Below are 17,751 nucleotides of genomic sequence, written 5' to 3'. Positions count from 1 at the left end.
CATGAACCTAGCAGCACCTTTAAATTGTCTACTAGGTAGTCGAAAGAACATTTTGTACCATCCTCCAAGGGGATAATGTTTACTATCAGAGGTTCCATTTCTTTATTTCCAGGATGAACATGTTTTGCAGATTAATTTTAGTGTGCTACACAAATGTAAGACGCTGTCTTAGTCATTCCAGTTCTAAAGTTTGATGTCATGGTTGTTCTTTGCCTCCTAGATCTTACCAGTCACCATTGTTTGTCAATTATTTCTTCACAATGTCTATTGAAGGATCTCATCACCTTTAGAGAGCTGTGGTCATGCCCCTTAAAGTGAATTTGGAGGTTTTATACCCCTCGTGGCAAGTTCCTGCTGGGACCAGCAGCTGCAGCCACTTAGTCCCCAAGTCAGCCCCAAGTTGGGGTCCTCAGGCAATTGCTGTGCCTGACAGGATGTGCCAGGTCATTGGGCAGGCACTTGATAGGTTTGCCAAATGCCCAGAACCTAATGAATGCTGTAATCTTGTCCCCTCCCCATTCTACAGACCAAGAAATGGGTGCCCGACACTGTACCTGGGTCCCCTAGATTCAGATCATGAAGGTGGAAGAGATCTTGGCTAGCAAGTGCCATTGGCTACCCACCAAGCAGTTCCATAAATCCAAGATTAAGTTCCCACTGTCCTACTGGGTCCCACATCGCCAGCACAAGCTGGTCCCACTCCACCACCAAGAGATCCAACACCTTCTTCTAGGTGCAGGGCCCTCCTCACCCTGGGTCTGCCCAAATAAACTCTTCAAGAATGCCAAAAACAAAATCCACCATCACACAAATGTTTCCTGATTCCATTTCTTTCCCTGATCCTCCCTTCTACTGGTACCAACTTTCTTGCTGAGCTTCTTATCATCTTCCCCATTTCTCCTATTATAGAAGCTTTTTAATTTTAATTATTCATCCTACTTGTAGTCTCTTTTTTTGCCAATTCATCATTCATATTGCTGACAAGTTGGTCATAAAGCACTCCTTCAATCTTGTCATTCTCCTACTTGAAGACTTCAGTGACTCCCCACAGCCTACCAGAAGTCCAAATGGCTTATTCTGACAGTGTAAGACCTTGACCATCACTGCAACCTTTGCAGACAGCTCTAACTATTCACTTCCCTGGCTTTGTACTCCAGCTAAACTCTGCCCTAACCTGCCTTGAACTTTTCTAATTTTATGCTTTTGCTTAAACCAATTTTGCTGGCCTGAAATGCACTCCTTTCTCTCTGCCTCCATAAATCCCATCCATCATTCAAGTCACAGTGCAAGTCCTTTCTTTGTGAAGCCTTCCAAATTCAGTCCAGCCCAAGTGATGCTGTGTGCTCTTAATTATAACTCTGAATTAGTATTTTTTGCCTGTCCCATTCATTTAACAAGTCCTCTACTTCCGAGAATATAATTCTGTTGTGCCGTGCAACTTAAAAACCTTTCAATGGTTTTGTTTCTTCAATTAGATTATATATTTCATGTGGCAGAGACATTTCTTCTATCTTCCTCATGACACCAATTACCATACCTTACACAGAGGAAGAGCTCCTAAAATACTAAACATTAAGACAGAAATATCTTCAGAGAGTTTTCCACAATGCTGAATATATATCAACCTGCTAAAACTTGGTTGATTTTTCATTTTAATTTGTTCTTCTTATACTATTTGTATTTTAATTCATTCTTCTCTAAAATAAATAAAATTTAATTTTTTTCATTTCAAATAAAGCAAAAAATGTTAATTTATAGACTTTAAAAATAGGAATTGTTTTATATTAACATGGAAGTTACAGCTTTCAGGTTGCAGTACAACTTTAGTTGTGGTTACAGTTGTAGTTTCAGTTTTCAGGTTGCAGTGTGAAGGGTGGAAGTGTGAGATTGTTGACTGACTCCTAGTATCTCATTATCTGAGTCATAGAATGGGAGGAGAACAGAATTGATTTCCAGGCACAGAAAAACGTCCTGTTACTTACAGGGCTAGGCAAAAGGCAAGGAGTATGTCAAATGTTAAAATGCAGTGGCCTGTTGCCAAAAGAAATGCAAAACAGCATTAAGAATGCTTGGTTGACCTTGAAGAGTGAACTGCTGGTTCTACAAGTTTCTAATGGCTTAGGACAAGGTTTTTGTCATGGGGAGAAGCTAGTCTTTAACTTCTCCCTCATCACAAATTTCCACTCAGCTTTCTGGGAACTTTTTTCTATTTTTTTTTTCCCTGTGGGAATGCATATTTGATATATTTGGAGTAAATGGAATAATATTTATTTGGAAAAAAGAAGCTTAGCATTTAATTTGCTAGTTTACTCAGTAAATTGAAGACTTGATGCAGTAAATACCAACAATACAATGCAATTATAGATATAATTTCTTGCATCTCATGGGGAGAAGAGTATAAAGCAAAATGTAACTATAACCATAAGACCATAAGAAATCAGATTTAGGAACTGAGATATTTCTGGTATAATTAGAGGTAGATGGGGTTATTTTGATTTTATCTGTGCCTACCTTTCTTAAAATTACACATGTGGATATATGATCTCTTTGAAAGAATCTTCTGATGTTAAAATCATATTTGTCCTATCAATTAGAATTTTTCCTTTCCTCTTTGGATGTGTCATTTCTCTGAGATAATTGTTCTAAGGCCTCTTTGGTTTTCTAAGCTTTAATTGTATTTGATACCTCCTTAATGTAACTTATATTTCCCCAAATTTGTATGTTTTTAAAGCCATGCAGTTCTGAAAATATTAATCCTGGTCATTGATTCATTCTACATTCCAATGAGTGTTTGCTATGTGGCAGGCACTGTGTTGGAACCAATGACAGAGTACGAATCATAGAATCACAGAACTCTAACATCAGAAGCAATTGTTTTTAGTGTTGATATCCTTCTCTTCACAATGACAGAAGCAAAATTGAAGAGTTTAAGTTTCCAAGGGTCTTAAGCAGTGGGCTTATTCCTCCTAGACCTTCTTGAACCTATGAATGCTTTTTTAAGTCCTTTTGTTAGTCTTTGACAGCCATCTCTCTGGACTTTACCTTCTTTGTTGAATACGTTTCTTTAAAATTGGAGCTTATCAGAAAGCTCTCTCCTCGTCCATAGTGATTTCTTTACATAATAACCTTTAAAATTTTTATAGAGCTATGTCATTAATACAATTGCTATCAAAGCTTAGAATATAACAGAAAAAAATGCGCATGGTATATAATGTCGTGCAATATGAAGGTGCCATCAGATAGAGAGGAAGTAGAGCTAACAAATACCAAACAAACAAAAATGTAGTGTTTACATCTTTTTACAACTGGGAAAAGAACCAGGGAGATGGGGGTGGGGATAGGGCATGGTGGTTAGGATTTGACTCCAGGTTTTTCTAAATACAAACACAGTGCTATTTCCACTGGGCACCGTATCTCCAAGGTAGCTGCATTTGGACAATTTACTTGTCAGGATCACTTGTGTCCTATTTCCTATTTTTGAAGCCACAAAATTGTGACCTTGACACCCATGGGTCCCTTATAATTCTTTTATTAGGATACCAAATATGATAGCAGATGTTCAAAAATGCCTAGAAGATTGTTTGGACATAAAACTGGGCCTGACATATGGTGGTAAAAATGTTAACAGGTGCATCTGAAAAAGAAAACAAGAGAAGAAAAAGAAAAGCATTCTTCATTTAAGAGGAAAAAAAACCCAAACCTACTTTAGGCCTAAGGAGAATGATTGGCTTAGCATACATTCATTTAACTAATTACAGAAAATATAAATATGTTTTTACAGCATAAAGGTTGAGTCGACTTGGCATGGAAATTTTAGAAAAAATATACAGCATTTGTTGTACTACCTTTAATTAATTACTATTATTTTACACTTGGAAGGTGGACATTTTAAATAAAAAGTTGATGAAAGAGAGAACATTTGGCATCATTACAAGATTTGAAGAAGCAGGTTCCTATTATTTCTGCCAAAAAGTATTTGGGACTGATTCCAGCTCATTCTTTCAGCCAAACATCTATATTTTAAGTTTATCAATATTTTCAATGTTTCAGAGCAAGTATGAAATTACCACCTTGATAACCTGGTACACTTAACTGAAAAATTTTTATAATCCTAAAACAGAATCTGTGGCAGAGTGTACTTTTTTTTCTCTGTTATTTCCCTATCTCCTCCTTCACAGTTTGGATGGGAAAGAACATCCTGATAATGTTCAGAGCTGTTGTAGAGAGTTCTTTGGTTCACAATGGAATGAGAAAGAGACTAAAAGTGATAGACATAAAACTGAAACAATGATCTGATCCTGTATCATTCTTCGTCTCTAATAATCCGTATGTATAATTTCAAGAGCTTTGGTGCATTTATGGGTGTTTATGGACTTTACAATGAAAAAAGGCAAGAATATTCGAGCCTCCTTCTATAGCAATATACCTAAAGTTATTAAGCTGCAATAAATGCATTAAGAAAAGTATTTAGTAAAATACCTACAGCGCATAATAAATTTTAGAATATGTCATAATGCTGCAATTTGTAAAGCTGAAAATCTTCTTGGTTTTCAACTTCCGAGTATTTGGGTGCATCTTCCTCTCGTATAAAGCTCAAGGGTATACAAGTTTCAGCGACCACAAAACAACTTGGTGAGTGTTAAGCGTATCCAATTGGCTTTTTAAAAAGATGACATGGAAAGCTTAGAAAATCAGTCCTCTTTCACTCCACCAGACATTGTGCCAGTTGTTCCTTGGTGATCATTCTAATTGTATAAAAATGTCTTTTATTTTTAAGCCTAGTCCACTTCTGCTTTAAGTACTATGAAAAACATTTCTTATTTTTTGGCGATATTGGTTAACTTTTAATTACTCTTCCTTTCTATGGTTGAGCTCAGAATTATTTCATTGTTTGTAACACATCACTAAGTAATAACTGTTATCTACAGGCTGCATCTGCCAGAAGATAACCAATATTGTTAGTCTACATTGCCAGAAGTTTAAATTCCTTATCCTCAAGCAAAATTTCATAAGAGGACCCTCAGTATTTTTCTAAAAATCATCCATTTTTGAAGAGGTAAATAAGTAGCTCTTCAGATATCTTTTTAATATAAGTGAATTCTTCTGTACTTTTTAGTAACAACTTCAATGGAATATAGGGAAATACTGTACAATTTACTTCTATAAGTGTACAATTCAAATTTTTTAGTGTGTTCACTGAGTTATACTATTATCACCACTATCTAATTTCAGACCATTTTCAACATCCCAAAGAGAAACCCTGTACCCATTAGCAGTTACTCTCCATTCTTCCTTCTCCCACGTCCTGGCAACCACAAATGTACTCTCTGTCTCTTTGGATTTACCTACTAAGGATATTTCTTACAAATGGAGTCATCAAATATGTGGCTTGTTGTATCTGACTGTTTTTAAAAAAATTTAACATAATATTTGTAAGGTTCATCCATGTTGTAGCATTTATCAATATTTTATTCCTGGCAGGGCTTACAGGTGGCTCATGCCTGTAATCTCAGCACTTTGAGAGGCTGAGGCAGGCAGGTCACTTGAGCCCAGGAGTTCAAGACCAGCCTAGGCAACATGCAAAACTCTGTCTCTGTAAAAAATACAAAAAATTAGCTGAGCATGGTGGTGCATGTCTGTGGTCCCAGCTACTAGGCAGGCTGAGGTGAGAGGATCACCTGAGCCTGGGAGGTTGAGGCTTCAGTGAGCCATGATTACTCCACTACACTCCAGCCTGGGCAACAGAGTGAGGCCCTGTCTCACAAAATTTTTTTCATTCTTTTTCATGGCTGCGTATTATTTCATGACATGCATATACTGCACTTTATTTTTCCATTCATCATTTGATGGACATTTGAGTTCTTTCCAATTTTTGGCTAATGTAATTAATGATGCTATGAACATTTGTGTACAAGTTTTTTTATGTAGACATATGTTTTTAATTCTTTTGGGTATGCACCTGAGAGTATTAATAGAATCTCTGGTCATATGCAAACTCTGTGTTTAATTTTTTGAGGACCTGCCAAACTGTTTTCCAAAATGGCTGCATTTTATAATCTCACTAGCTTTGTGTGAGGGTTCCAATTTCTCCACATCTTCACCCAGACTTGTTCTTTTCTATAGCTACATATTTGTATCTGTGGGGAAGCAGCTCCACATTACATTTATTAAATATTTAGTAAAGAATCTCTGCTTTTGTACATCTCTGTTTCCATGATTATTGTCCATTCCAACCTCATCTCGTCTTTGAACAACTGCAGCAACTCTTAAATGCTTCCTTCATGATATCCTTATGTATACAATAGCCACAGAGATCTTTTAAAAATGTATGTGGCAAACACAAACGTTATTTCAGAAAGCACGTGTGCTAGAATTTTTTCTGTGAATACTTCTGTATCTGCAATAAAACATCAGTAAAATCTAAGTTTTTTTCAGGCTCTTTGAATTTAGATTTGTAGTTCTTTTAAATATATCTCTGAGTTTTGATTTGCTTTAACACTGGTGATGGAAGTTGTGGTTCATTTGGGTTTTATCTGCAAAACATTTAGATTAAAATGGCAGTAAAAGTCAAGCATTTATAAGATGATACTAATAGCTAACTTATATTGAGTACCTACTACGTACTGAGCAGTTATCTAAGTACTTTCTATATGTTTAACTCATTTATTCCTCATAAAAATTCTGGTGAGGTATTATTAAACTTATTTCACACTACAGGGGAATAGAGGGACAGAGAAGTTAAGTAACTCACCCAATGTCACACAGCCAGTAAGTAGTAGAGTCAAGATTCTAACCAAAAAATCTGGTTACAGAGCCCACATCAGTAGCCACCAAACTATCCTGCCATTTTGTCTTACTTATTGTCTGAAATATATAAGACTTAAAATAGTAGGTGACGACCAATATTTTTTTTACTTTGACTTGATGTCTATTGAAGAAATCTAGCATCTGAGACTATGGGGAAAAAAAAGAAAAACTTTAAAAAATTAAAAAATTAAAAGTTAATCATTTTCTGGTATTCAATAGGGTAGTTTAAAATATTCACACTTTTATTAATTTTGAATAATATCACCATGTCCAATTATAAGGTTGTATATTTTAAACATCCATGTTTCTATAATACCACCTAGAGGTTTACAGAATTACTTCTGCCGTACTTAAAAACAACAGCTTGAGCAAAAAAGTACTGGACAACTTAAAGGATAACTTCTAAAAGACACTCTTGGAAAAATAACATTTTCTGAAATGTACACAATAGTCAATGTCATGATATTGCCTGCCAGTTCACGTGCTACTCTTTCCTCCACGTACGTCTTTTAAACCATCTAACAGAACATTGTGTGTTTCTGAACATTTACATTCAATTTGTTAAATGTCACCGGGGAAAAATAAAACAGAGAGGACATCAGCTAATAATGTACTTTTACATTCCGTCATCCTATGCATGGTTCCATGTCTTACCATGCTGACCTAATTTGCCATGACAGGAACATGGCCCTGATTTCAGAACATTCCAACTGTGGCAATCACTAAACCTTATTGGGAATTTTTGCCCCCTTAGCAAATTGAACCAGATTGCTTTTCTCAGGACCATTTGAGATGGGTATCTGTGAGCAAGGCGGGTGGGCTGTGATGAAGAGTTGAGAAATGGAGCTTTTATATTACAAATATACTGAAGCTTTATGTAAATGTGTATCATTACAGGGTGACTGATTTTTGCTGTGAAGGTAGATTTGGGGAGAAAAAATTTAAAAATCATATTTTATTAATACTTCCTAATGTGTGGCCTTGGGCAAACCTCTTTCCTGAGTTTCCTCAAGTCTAAAATGAGGATGATAATGATAATATCTATATTTCAGAGTTTATCAGACAATTAGATAAGGATTCACTCTAAGTAAGGATTTAGAACAATATCCAGCTTCAAAAAATATAAATTCTGATTGTTATAATTTTTACTTTAACATTTTTGAAATAAAAATTATTCTATGTTTACAAGAATAATTTATCCTTAAATTCTTTGGCTGGCTGATCAACTGTAATATATAGATTGTATTATATTTCTATAACAACTTATGGTGCACCAGTACTTGATCATAGGCATATAATTCGTATGCATGTCTCAGGCCTCAGCAGCCCACAGGTAAAAGTGTTGTTTCATCAAGATTAATAGTGGGCTTTTGACAGTGCCTGGCCCCCATCTGTTTGCCCAGGATGTCAGTTTCCATGCTTTTACATTTCTTCTAGTAGCTTCATGTGTTAGGATAAGTTTCGTTCACCATCTCCTATGTGAACTTCTTCATCAAGAGTCCTCACTAGTCCCCACACCAGAAGCCCTCGGGAGACTGATGTACTGTCCGCATGTGTGCCACCTGGAGCCCTCAAAGACATGGGGCATTGATGTGGACAAGAATGTCTGCCCTCGCAACCCCCAAATGCTCAGTTAGGCTTGGTTTCTTGGGTCCCTGAAGGGGCCCCACCTGAGCCCGGAATCTCACACTTGGTTTATTGTCTCCTTAGACCTCTCACATAGGAGAGTATCTTGCAGATACTGAACTGGAACTTTAAAAATTCCCCTCTTTGAGTCATATTACCGTCAGGATTTGAACATTTTACCTTCAAGTATAAACCGAGAGAGGGAGAACCCTGATGCTGCCCGGAACAGAAGAATTTAGTCAGCATTCATTTTTTGAGCTCTTTAGTGAGGCTGTGGCTTTGTAGGGAGGTCTCTAAATAACGCTTTTTTAAAAAAAATATGTTAAGTAGTGGGCCTGGAGACTGGAACAGAAGTTCTCAAATTTTTGGTCTCAAGATGCTTTTTAACTCTTAAAAAATTATGGAAGACCGTAAAAGCTTTTGATTTATGTGAGTTATTGATATTTACTTAATAGAACTTTAAACTGAGAAGTTATAAAATAATTAAATATACAGTCATGTGTCACTTAATGATGGGGCTACATTCTAAGAAATGTGTCATTAGGTGATTTCATCATTGCGGGAATATCACAAAGGGACTTACTCAAACCTAGACGGTCTAACCTATTACCTATCTAGGTTATATGGTCTAGCCGTTGCTCCTTGGCTACAAACTTGTACAACATGTTACTCTACTGAATACTGTAGGCAATTGTAACACAATGGTAATTAATTGTGTATCTGAATACATCTAAACATAGAGCAGATACAGTAAAAATATGGTAAGAAAGATTTTTAAAAAGGGCACATTTGTGTAGGACACTTAGCAGGAATGGAGCTTGTGGGACTGGAAGTTGCTCTGGGAGTCAGTGGGTGAGTGGTGAGTGAATGTGAAGACTTAGAACATTACTGTCCACTACTGTAGACATTATAAACACTGTACACTTAGGCTACACTAAATTTACTTAAAAACTTTTCTTTCTTCAATAATAAAATAACCTTAGCTCACTGTAAATGCTTTACTTTGTACACTTTTAAATTATTTTAAAACTTTTTAACTTTTTTGCAATAACACTTAGCTTAACACATTGTACAGATGTAAGAATATATTTTCTTTATAACCTTATTCTGTAAGTTTTTTTCTACTTTTACAATTGTTTGTTTTTCTTTGTAAACTTTTTTTTTGTTAAAAACAAAGACACAAACACACACATTAGCCTAGGCCTGCACCGGGTGAGGATCATCAATATCACCGTCTTCCACTTCCACATCTTGTGCCACTAGATGGTCTTCAGGGGCAATAACATACATGGAGCTGTCATCTCCCGTAACAAGGCCTTCTTCTGGAATACCTACTAAAGGACCTGCCTGAGGGGCTGTTTCACAGCTTTTTTTTTTTCTTTTTGTAAGTAGAAAGAGTATACCCTGAAATAATAAAAAAAAGTACAGTATAGTAAATACATAAACTGGTAACCTAGTCATTTGTGATCACTATTAGTATTCCATACTGTACATAATTGTATATGTTGGACTCTCATACAACTGGCAGCACAGTAGGTTTTTTTGCACCAGCTTCACCATAAACACCTGAGTGATGCATTGTGCTGCAATGTGATGGCTACAATTTCACTAGGCAATAGGAAATTTTTCGGCTTTATTATAATCTTATATGACTACTGTTGTATACACTGTCCGTCATTCACTAAAATGTTATGTGGTGCTTGACTATACATTGACTTTAAAATATCAGTGATAGCAATAAAAATCAATAATAAACTCATTACATGTTACCATAAATATTTTTCTTTTAAAAAACTATATTTTCCGAAACTAGAAAAAAATTAGAAGAGTGGCACTGCTTAATATTTTGCAAATGTCTGGCTTAATAGAAAGCACCTGGATTCTCATGTCTTCTGTGTTCAGTGTTTTAAGATACCACACATCATGTAGCTTCTGGAAAATGGCACCGTATGAGTGTAAAAGAATGAGAGTGAAAAGGAAAGTAACATTTTAGTATATGAGAATGGTTTTGATCTTGCAGACCTCCTGAAAAAGGCTTACAGGCCCCATGTTGAGAACTTCTGTCCTGCAGCTTGAGTAACTTATTCCATGGGGAGATTGCAGGCTACTGTTTAGAGAAAAGCTGTCCTCGCCAGTCTTGGTGATTGCGGAAAGAATAAGCGGAGAGCAAGGCAGAAGAGGCAGTGTATGAATACATCCTAATCTCCTTCTGGACCCAAATCCAGCCTTTGTGACTGGGGGAATTGCATTTATCCAGAGGTGTTCCTGGATGATACCTTAGAGGAAAGGTACAGCGTGCAAGGATGAGGAATGTTTGAGTTTGGCTTTCTTGAGCTGTTCCTTTTACCCAAATGGAGAGGGTAGGACATTGAAGAGGGATGGATAATGAAATCTGAATGGGAAACTCACCAGAGGAAATCAGAGTAGTGGAGACGAGTGGCCCTGTGGCTGAGGGCTGTGGGGCAGACCTCTTGGGACTAGAACCAAGGGGGAACCACAGCCGCTTCTCAGGGCTTCTTGGCATCCACAGGTGCTCATGAGCTGGGGCGTAATTGGCAGGGACAACTCCAGTCTCTGACTGAATGGTGAGAGAACTGAGCATAGGTGCTAGTGGGGCCAGCTACCAGGCATCTGAGATGTACTGCTGGAGAACAAGTGAAAAGACGTGGATGTGGATTCCTCCTTTCTCCTCCCGTTAGAGGCCCCTTAGGCTCTACTTTTGCTTACCCTCAGTTGCCATCTTGGAGTAAAGCAGGATGTGGTAGAAGAAATCAGAATGGTTGGATATTTATGTTAAAAAAGGCTAAGTTACCTTTAAAAATTCAAATTGACAGATTGACAGAAATTAGTGGATTATTGCTGTGGTTTGAATGTGTCTCCTAAATTTGATGTGTTGGAAATGCAATATCCCAATTTATATGTTGATGGTATTTGGAGGTGGGGCTTTTGGGAGGTAATTATAATAAGATAAGGTTATCGGGTGAGACCCCTATAATGGGGCTGGTAGCTTTATAAGAAGAGGAAGAGAGACCTAAACAGCACAGTTACCCTCACCATGTGAAGCCCTTTGCCAAGTTATGATGCAGCAAGAAGGCCCTCACCAGATGCCAGCACCATGCTTATTGATTTACCAGTCCCTAAAACTGTAAGCTAACTGAAACACTGTTATTTATAAATTACTCAGTCTGTGGTATTCTATTATAACAACACAAATGGGCTACGAGAATTGTATACCTAATGTAGGCTCTTTCTCCTTCTTCTGCTACCTAACATGTTGGAACTTTATGAGTGAGATCAGATAGTTATAGAAAATATAAAGCTACTGTATTAGTCCATTTTCACATTGCTATAAAGAAATACCGGAGACTGGGTAATTTATAAAGGAAAGAGGTTTAATTGACTCACACTTCAGCATGGCTGAAGAGGCCTCAGGAAACTTACAATTATGGCAGAAGGCAAAGGAGAAACAAGCACCTTCTTCAAAAGGTGGCAGGAAAAAAGAGAGAGAGTGAAGAAGGAAGAGTCCCTTATAAAACCATCAGATCTCATGAGAAATCACTCACTCACTATCATGAGAAGAGCATGGGGGAAACTGCCCCCATGATCCAATCACGTCCCACCAGGTCCCTCCCTTGACATGTGAAAATGACAAGTTAGTTACTTCCACGATACAATGGGGTACAGGCATTGGATAAATTCTCTAATTTCAAATTGGAGAAATTGGCCAAAACAAACGGGCCACAGGCCCTGTGCAAGTCTGAAATCCAGTGGGCCAGTCATTAAATCAAAAGCTCCAAACTAATCTCCTTTGGCTCTATGTCTCACATCCAGGGCACACTGATGCAAGAGGTGGGTTCCCATGACCTTGGGCAGCTCTGCCCCTGTGGCTTTGCAGGGTACAGCACCCCCCAGCTGTTTTCATGGGCTGGTGTTGAGTGACTGTGACTTTTCCAGGTGCACATGCAGGCTGTTGGTGGATCTACCATACTGGGGTCTGGAGGACAGTGGCCCTCTTCTCACAGCTCCACTAGGCAGTGCCCCAGTGCAGACTCTGTGTGGGGTCTCCAACCCTACATTTCCCTTCCATACTGACCTAGCAGAGATTTTTTTCATGAGGGCTCAACCCCTGCAGCAGACTTCTGCCCAGACATCCACGTGTTTCCATACCTCCTCTGAAGCCTAGGCCAAGGTTCCCAAAGCTCAACTCTTGTCTTCTGTGCACCCACAGGCCCAACACCACATGGAAGCCACCAAGACTTGGAGCTTGCAGCCTCTGAAGCAATGGCTTGAGATGTATGTTGGTTCCTTTTAGCCACAGCTGAAGCTGAAGCAGCTGGGATGCAGGGCGCCATATCCCAAGGGTGCACAGAGCATCAGGTCCCTGGGCCCAGCCCACAGAACAATTTTTCCCTCTTAGGCTTCTGGTCCTGTGATGGGAGGGGCTGCCACGAAGTTCTCTAATATGCCCTGGAGACATTTTCCCCATTGTCTTGGTGATTAACATTCGATGTTACTTATGCAAATTTCTGCAGCTGGCTTCAGTTTCTCCCCGAAAAATGGGTTTTTCTTTTCTACCACGTGGTCAGGCTGCAAAATTTCCAAACTTTTATGCTCTATCACCTCTTGAATGCTTTGCTACTTAGAAATTTCTTCTGCCAGATACCCTAAATCAGCTCTCTGAAGTTCAAAGTTCCACACTTCTCTAGGGCAGGGGCAAAATGCCACCAGTCTCTTTGCTAAAGCATGGCAAGAGTCACCTTTGCTCCAGTTCTCAAGAAGTTCCTCATCTCCATCTGAGACCATCTCAACCTGGACTTCATTGTCCACATCACTATCAGCATTTTGGTCAAAACCATTCAACAAGTCTCTAGGAAGTTCCAAACTTTCCCACATTTTGCTGTCTTCTTCCGAACCCTCCAAACTATTCCAACCTCTCCTCATTACCCAGTTCCAAAGTCACTTCCACGTTTTCAGGTTATCTTTATAGCAGTGCCCCACTCTTCAAGATGCCAATTTCTTGTATTAATCTGTTTTCCCACTGCTATAAAGAATATGTGAGACTGGATAATTTATAAAGAAAAGAGGTTTAATTGACTCACAGTTCCACATGGTGGGGAAAGCCTCAGAAAAACTATAATAATGGTGGAATGCAAAGGAAAACCAAATACCTTCTTCACAAGGTGGCAGGAAAAAGAGAATGAGAGTGAATGGGGAAGAGCCCATCAGTGGGTTCTTGAATCTCATGAAATCTCACTGTTACGAGAACAGCATGGGGGAAACTGCCCCCATAGTTCAATCACCTCTCATCAGGTTCCTCCTTTGACAAATGGGGATTACAATTTGAGATGAGATTTCGATGGGGACACAGCCAAATCATATCAGATGCTCGATTTCTCTTCATGTTTGAGTGAAGTGTGCTTAAATTAGTAACTGCACGATAGCTCACAATAAGTCCAAGAAGCCTGAAAGAAAGCCATTGTGCCATTCTTTATTACCTTACCTCTCCCTGTGTCTCAATTCCCAAAACTTCTCACTTTCTTCTAACCCCTAACAGTATTCTCATGCATACTACCTTTTGTATATGGAGCCAGCAAGGTTACTGGTCTGCCAATTCCCCACCAATTTTTTTTGAGTCTGTAATAACTAGATCACTTTGCTGTATCTCTCTTTGTGTGTATATGTGTGTGCGTGCATGCTTATGCATATATAATTTTAGAAGTATGTATGTTTAGGAGTATGTATGTTATATATGCTTATGCATATATAATTTTAGGGATATGTATGTTCTACTCAAAATCTTTGAAATTGTCTACATTTTAAGACTCTAGGGTCAGAGTTTTCATAGATGAAATAAGGAGTTTGAGTTTTTTCCTGTTATTCTTCACAAATTTTTGATTTACAGTACTGGGCCTAATCCGTATTACTAATATGATGTACTGGATTTCTGCTGTGAGTCCTTTTAGACCTATTCGTCATTCTATTTCCTGATCCCTACTCTCTGCTGCTGGTAGGACTTATTTGGAATAGAACAGTAAGCTTCCTTGCTCACTGGTTCCCTCACCCACTGATTTTCACCAATGGGGTAAACCAGCTGGGCATCAGAGGGAGGGTTAAAAGTGAGGTTGGCTCCCTACCTGCAGAGTTGCCAAGAAGTGACTACCTAGTTTAAGGTTATGGCTCTGCCAGGTGGCCCTGTCCTCGCAGCCTCCCTTGTCTCTTGTTTCCTTTGACTGCTCTACCTCCTTTAGGCCTGGGGACAGTGATGGCCTTCTACTCTTACTAGCTCTAGATACTGTACTCTCTCTGTGGCTTCCCTACATGTCATCCATAGCTTTGTAAATAGTTAATTGAATATTCCTCTCATTATGCAGTGAGCCACCTGTTCTCACCAGGAGCATGACTGATATACATGGGCATCTTTAGTTTATCAAACCCAGTTTTCTCAGCAGTAATATAAGTCCCTGTCATCTTATTTATAATGCTGCATCTAGAACTCAGCATCTGAAATTACTTATAGATTAAGTGTACTATTCAATTCTTGAATATAGAGCTTGTATACTTCTTAAAACCAGGGAAGGGGGAAATCATCAGACCTTATTTCAGGGGCTTGTGTTTGCCCAATTTTTTCCCTTCCTCCCTCCCTTCCTCTCCTTTCTCCCTTTTCTTTTTTTCTTCCTTCCTTCTCAAACACGTATCTCAATCTGGGAAACTACATCCCAATAATCTTGTGTGGATTGGCAATAGTAAAAGAGCTTTGAAATAGTTAATGTCATAGAATACTTTTTCTTTTCTTTTGAACCAAGATAGAGCTTTTAAGACAGTTCTTTCTTATCTTGGATGATGGCAATGCAGCAGCTACAATATTTCAAAGGTCAGGCCCAGTACATGATGGAAAGCTGATGAAAATAGCTCTTGAGTTAAATCTGGGTAAAACTAGTAGTGTAGAACAGTAATTGATAAGAATAGGGTTTTGGCTAGGAACATCTTAAACTTACGGTCAGTTAAAGATAGTGAAATCTGCCCAGGAGAATTGTGAGTCTGAACTGGCTCACAGCAGAGAAACCATCAAATCAAGTTCATCATCCCTTAAATAAAGAGGAAGCATTAGATCTCAGGCTAATATTATAACTGAGACTGTGTAAAAGCTATCTTGAATATTACATGAAGATGGCTGTCAAGATAACTGTGTATTCAGTAGCACATCAAGGATTTTCTTATTGACAGGATAAAACACTAGGACGAAATCAGCAGCTGGTGTGATGATGTTGTTTTACATGTGCTTGGGATGATTCTGCCAAATGTATTCTACTTTGCATTTTACTTCATAGAGGAATTCTTGTTTCTCTTAAGGAGCACAGTAAAAATGAATAAAATAAATCTTAATTTATACACTCTCAGTGTAGAAATATTGGATATTTAAAATATAGATCTCATCTGTGGAAATTATTTCACTTCAAATAATTTAGACAGTTGCCAAATTCTTTGAGGATTGCCTTACTGTTGTTATTGGAAAGTGTACCTTGGGATTCATTTTACATCTCCAATATCAGTTCAGTGCATTTGCTTTCATAAAATTTTGGTCTGTGCTTGCCACTGAATTTGAGAGAAGTCTCCAAATTATTGAATCAGAGGCTTCCCCTTCCCTCAGAATCCCTCATTTTCCAATGATAAAAAGTCTACCAATTGTTCAAACCAAACACAAATGACAACTTCTCAAGAAGCTTTACCAGATCCCCCAGGTCCTAATTACCCCTTTCCATTTTTTAGCATAAGATCTTACATGTACCTTTACTGAACCCTTATTTCCTTCTACTTTATAGTATAGAAACATTAAAGAGCTTCTGCACAGCAAAAGAAACTATCAATGGAGTAAACAGACAACCTACAGAATGGGAGTAAACTTTTGCAAACTACACATTTGACAAAGGTCTAATATCTAGCACCTCTAAGGAACTTAAACAAATTTACAAGAAAAAAACAAACCCATTAAAACGTGGGCAAAGGACATGAACAGACATTTTTCAAAAGACCTACACGCAGCCAACAATCATGTGAAGAAAAGCTCAATGTCACTGATGGATAGAGAAATGCAAATCAAAACCAAAGTGAGGCACCATCTCACACCAATCAGAATGACTATTATTAAAAAGTCAAAAAATAACAGATGCTGGTGAGGCTGTGGAGAAAAAAGGAACACTTTTACACTGTTGGTGGGAATGTATATTAGTTCAACCATTGTGGAAAATAGTGTGGTGATTCCTCAAATGTAAGCTTCTTTAATGTAAGTTACTTATTTACTTTTTAAAAAATCTAGTAATAGCTTTCTGGTGCTTAATCAGGATTGCTGAATAAATACATTAGATTTAGTAGGCAACTCTTTTTTTTAAAAAAACATACTCTTAAGTACTGTGCTCGATGATAAGAAAATGTTCTAAGCTACTTACAGATAGACCTTAAGTGCTTAGCAAGACACAAATAGAATACATAAAAAGAAAGATGCTTTTCCCCAATCTGACTTTAAAAGAAAAAGCACTTCGGAGTATATATAAAAGGAATTTCCCTTTCTAATTGGAAAAAACTCAATGAAGTTATGAGGAATTTTGAAGTTGATAGACTGTTCATGCAAAGGTAATTCATTTGAATTACCTTTATTTTCAACAGGTTGAGGGAACTTGAAATTTGTTAATGATAATACAGGTGAGAACATTCCAACTAGCAACAGTTTCCTTGTTTGAAACCACTCTTTGGTGCAGGGTTTTCATGCACAGCATGCAAATGCATGTTGTGTTCATAAATCCAATCACAAATGATGGTTTTAGGACCAAACTGTATTTCTTCCAAACAAAGTGGCAGTAATATTTTTAAAAATCTGCAAGCCCTTTGAGAGTCTTCAAAAAGAATTTCATCATCTTTTCTCATTGAAGTGAAGATATTTATAACTGAGAGGATGCTGTATTGCCACTATGGGGAAGAATTGTATTCCTCACCTAAAATATAGCCACCAATAGTGTACATGTTTTGCATTTAGCATTCAAAATATATGGGGAACAAGATCTAAGTAGATGCAGTAGGATCTAGAAATTAGCCTAAGTCAGCTCTGGAGACCAGATTTAGGGAGGATTGTAAATCATACCCTTGGAATGCAACATTACTATTCAGAATACTCTAAAATGTGCTATGGATCAGAAACCTACTTCTTAGCCTACAAGTTGTTTGTTCTCTAGGTTGTGTCAGAACCTCTGTGATTTCATAAAGGTATGCTATTCAGGTTTGAAGGCCATTTTAGGATTTTTCTGTAAATACTGAGTTTCATAGATA

The 17,751-nt window shown here is 37.8% G+C and overlaps 1 non-coding gene and 2 pseudogenes across 1 annotated transcript; all 3 read left to right on the top strand.

The window, feature by feature from the left end:
* Nucleotides 1-227: 227 nt before the first annotated feature.
* LOC124900340 (uncharacterized) lies at nt 228-337 on the top strand (annotated as a pseudogene).
* Nucleotides 527-786, top strand: RPL18AP17 (ribosomal protein L18a pseudogene 17; annotated as a pseudogene).
* LOC124900345 (small nucleolar RNA SNORD37) lies at nt 6,889-6,954 on the top strand. Its single transcript, XR_007063956.1, has one exon. It is a non-coding gene; the product is annotated as a small nucleolar RNA SNORD37 (small nucleolar RNA).
* The last annotated feature ends 10,797 nt before the right edge of the window (nt 6,955-17,751 follow it).

Source organism: Homo sapiens, chromosome 13 (genome assembly GCF_000001405.40).
Source record: "Homo sapiens chromosome 13, GRCh38.p14 Primary Assembly".
NCBI classification, from domain to species: domain Eukaryota; kingdom Metazoa; phylum Chordata; class Mammalia; order Primates; family Hominidae; genus Homo; species Homo sapiens.
This window is presented reverse-complemented; position numbering and strand designations above follow the sequence as displayed.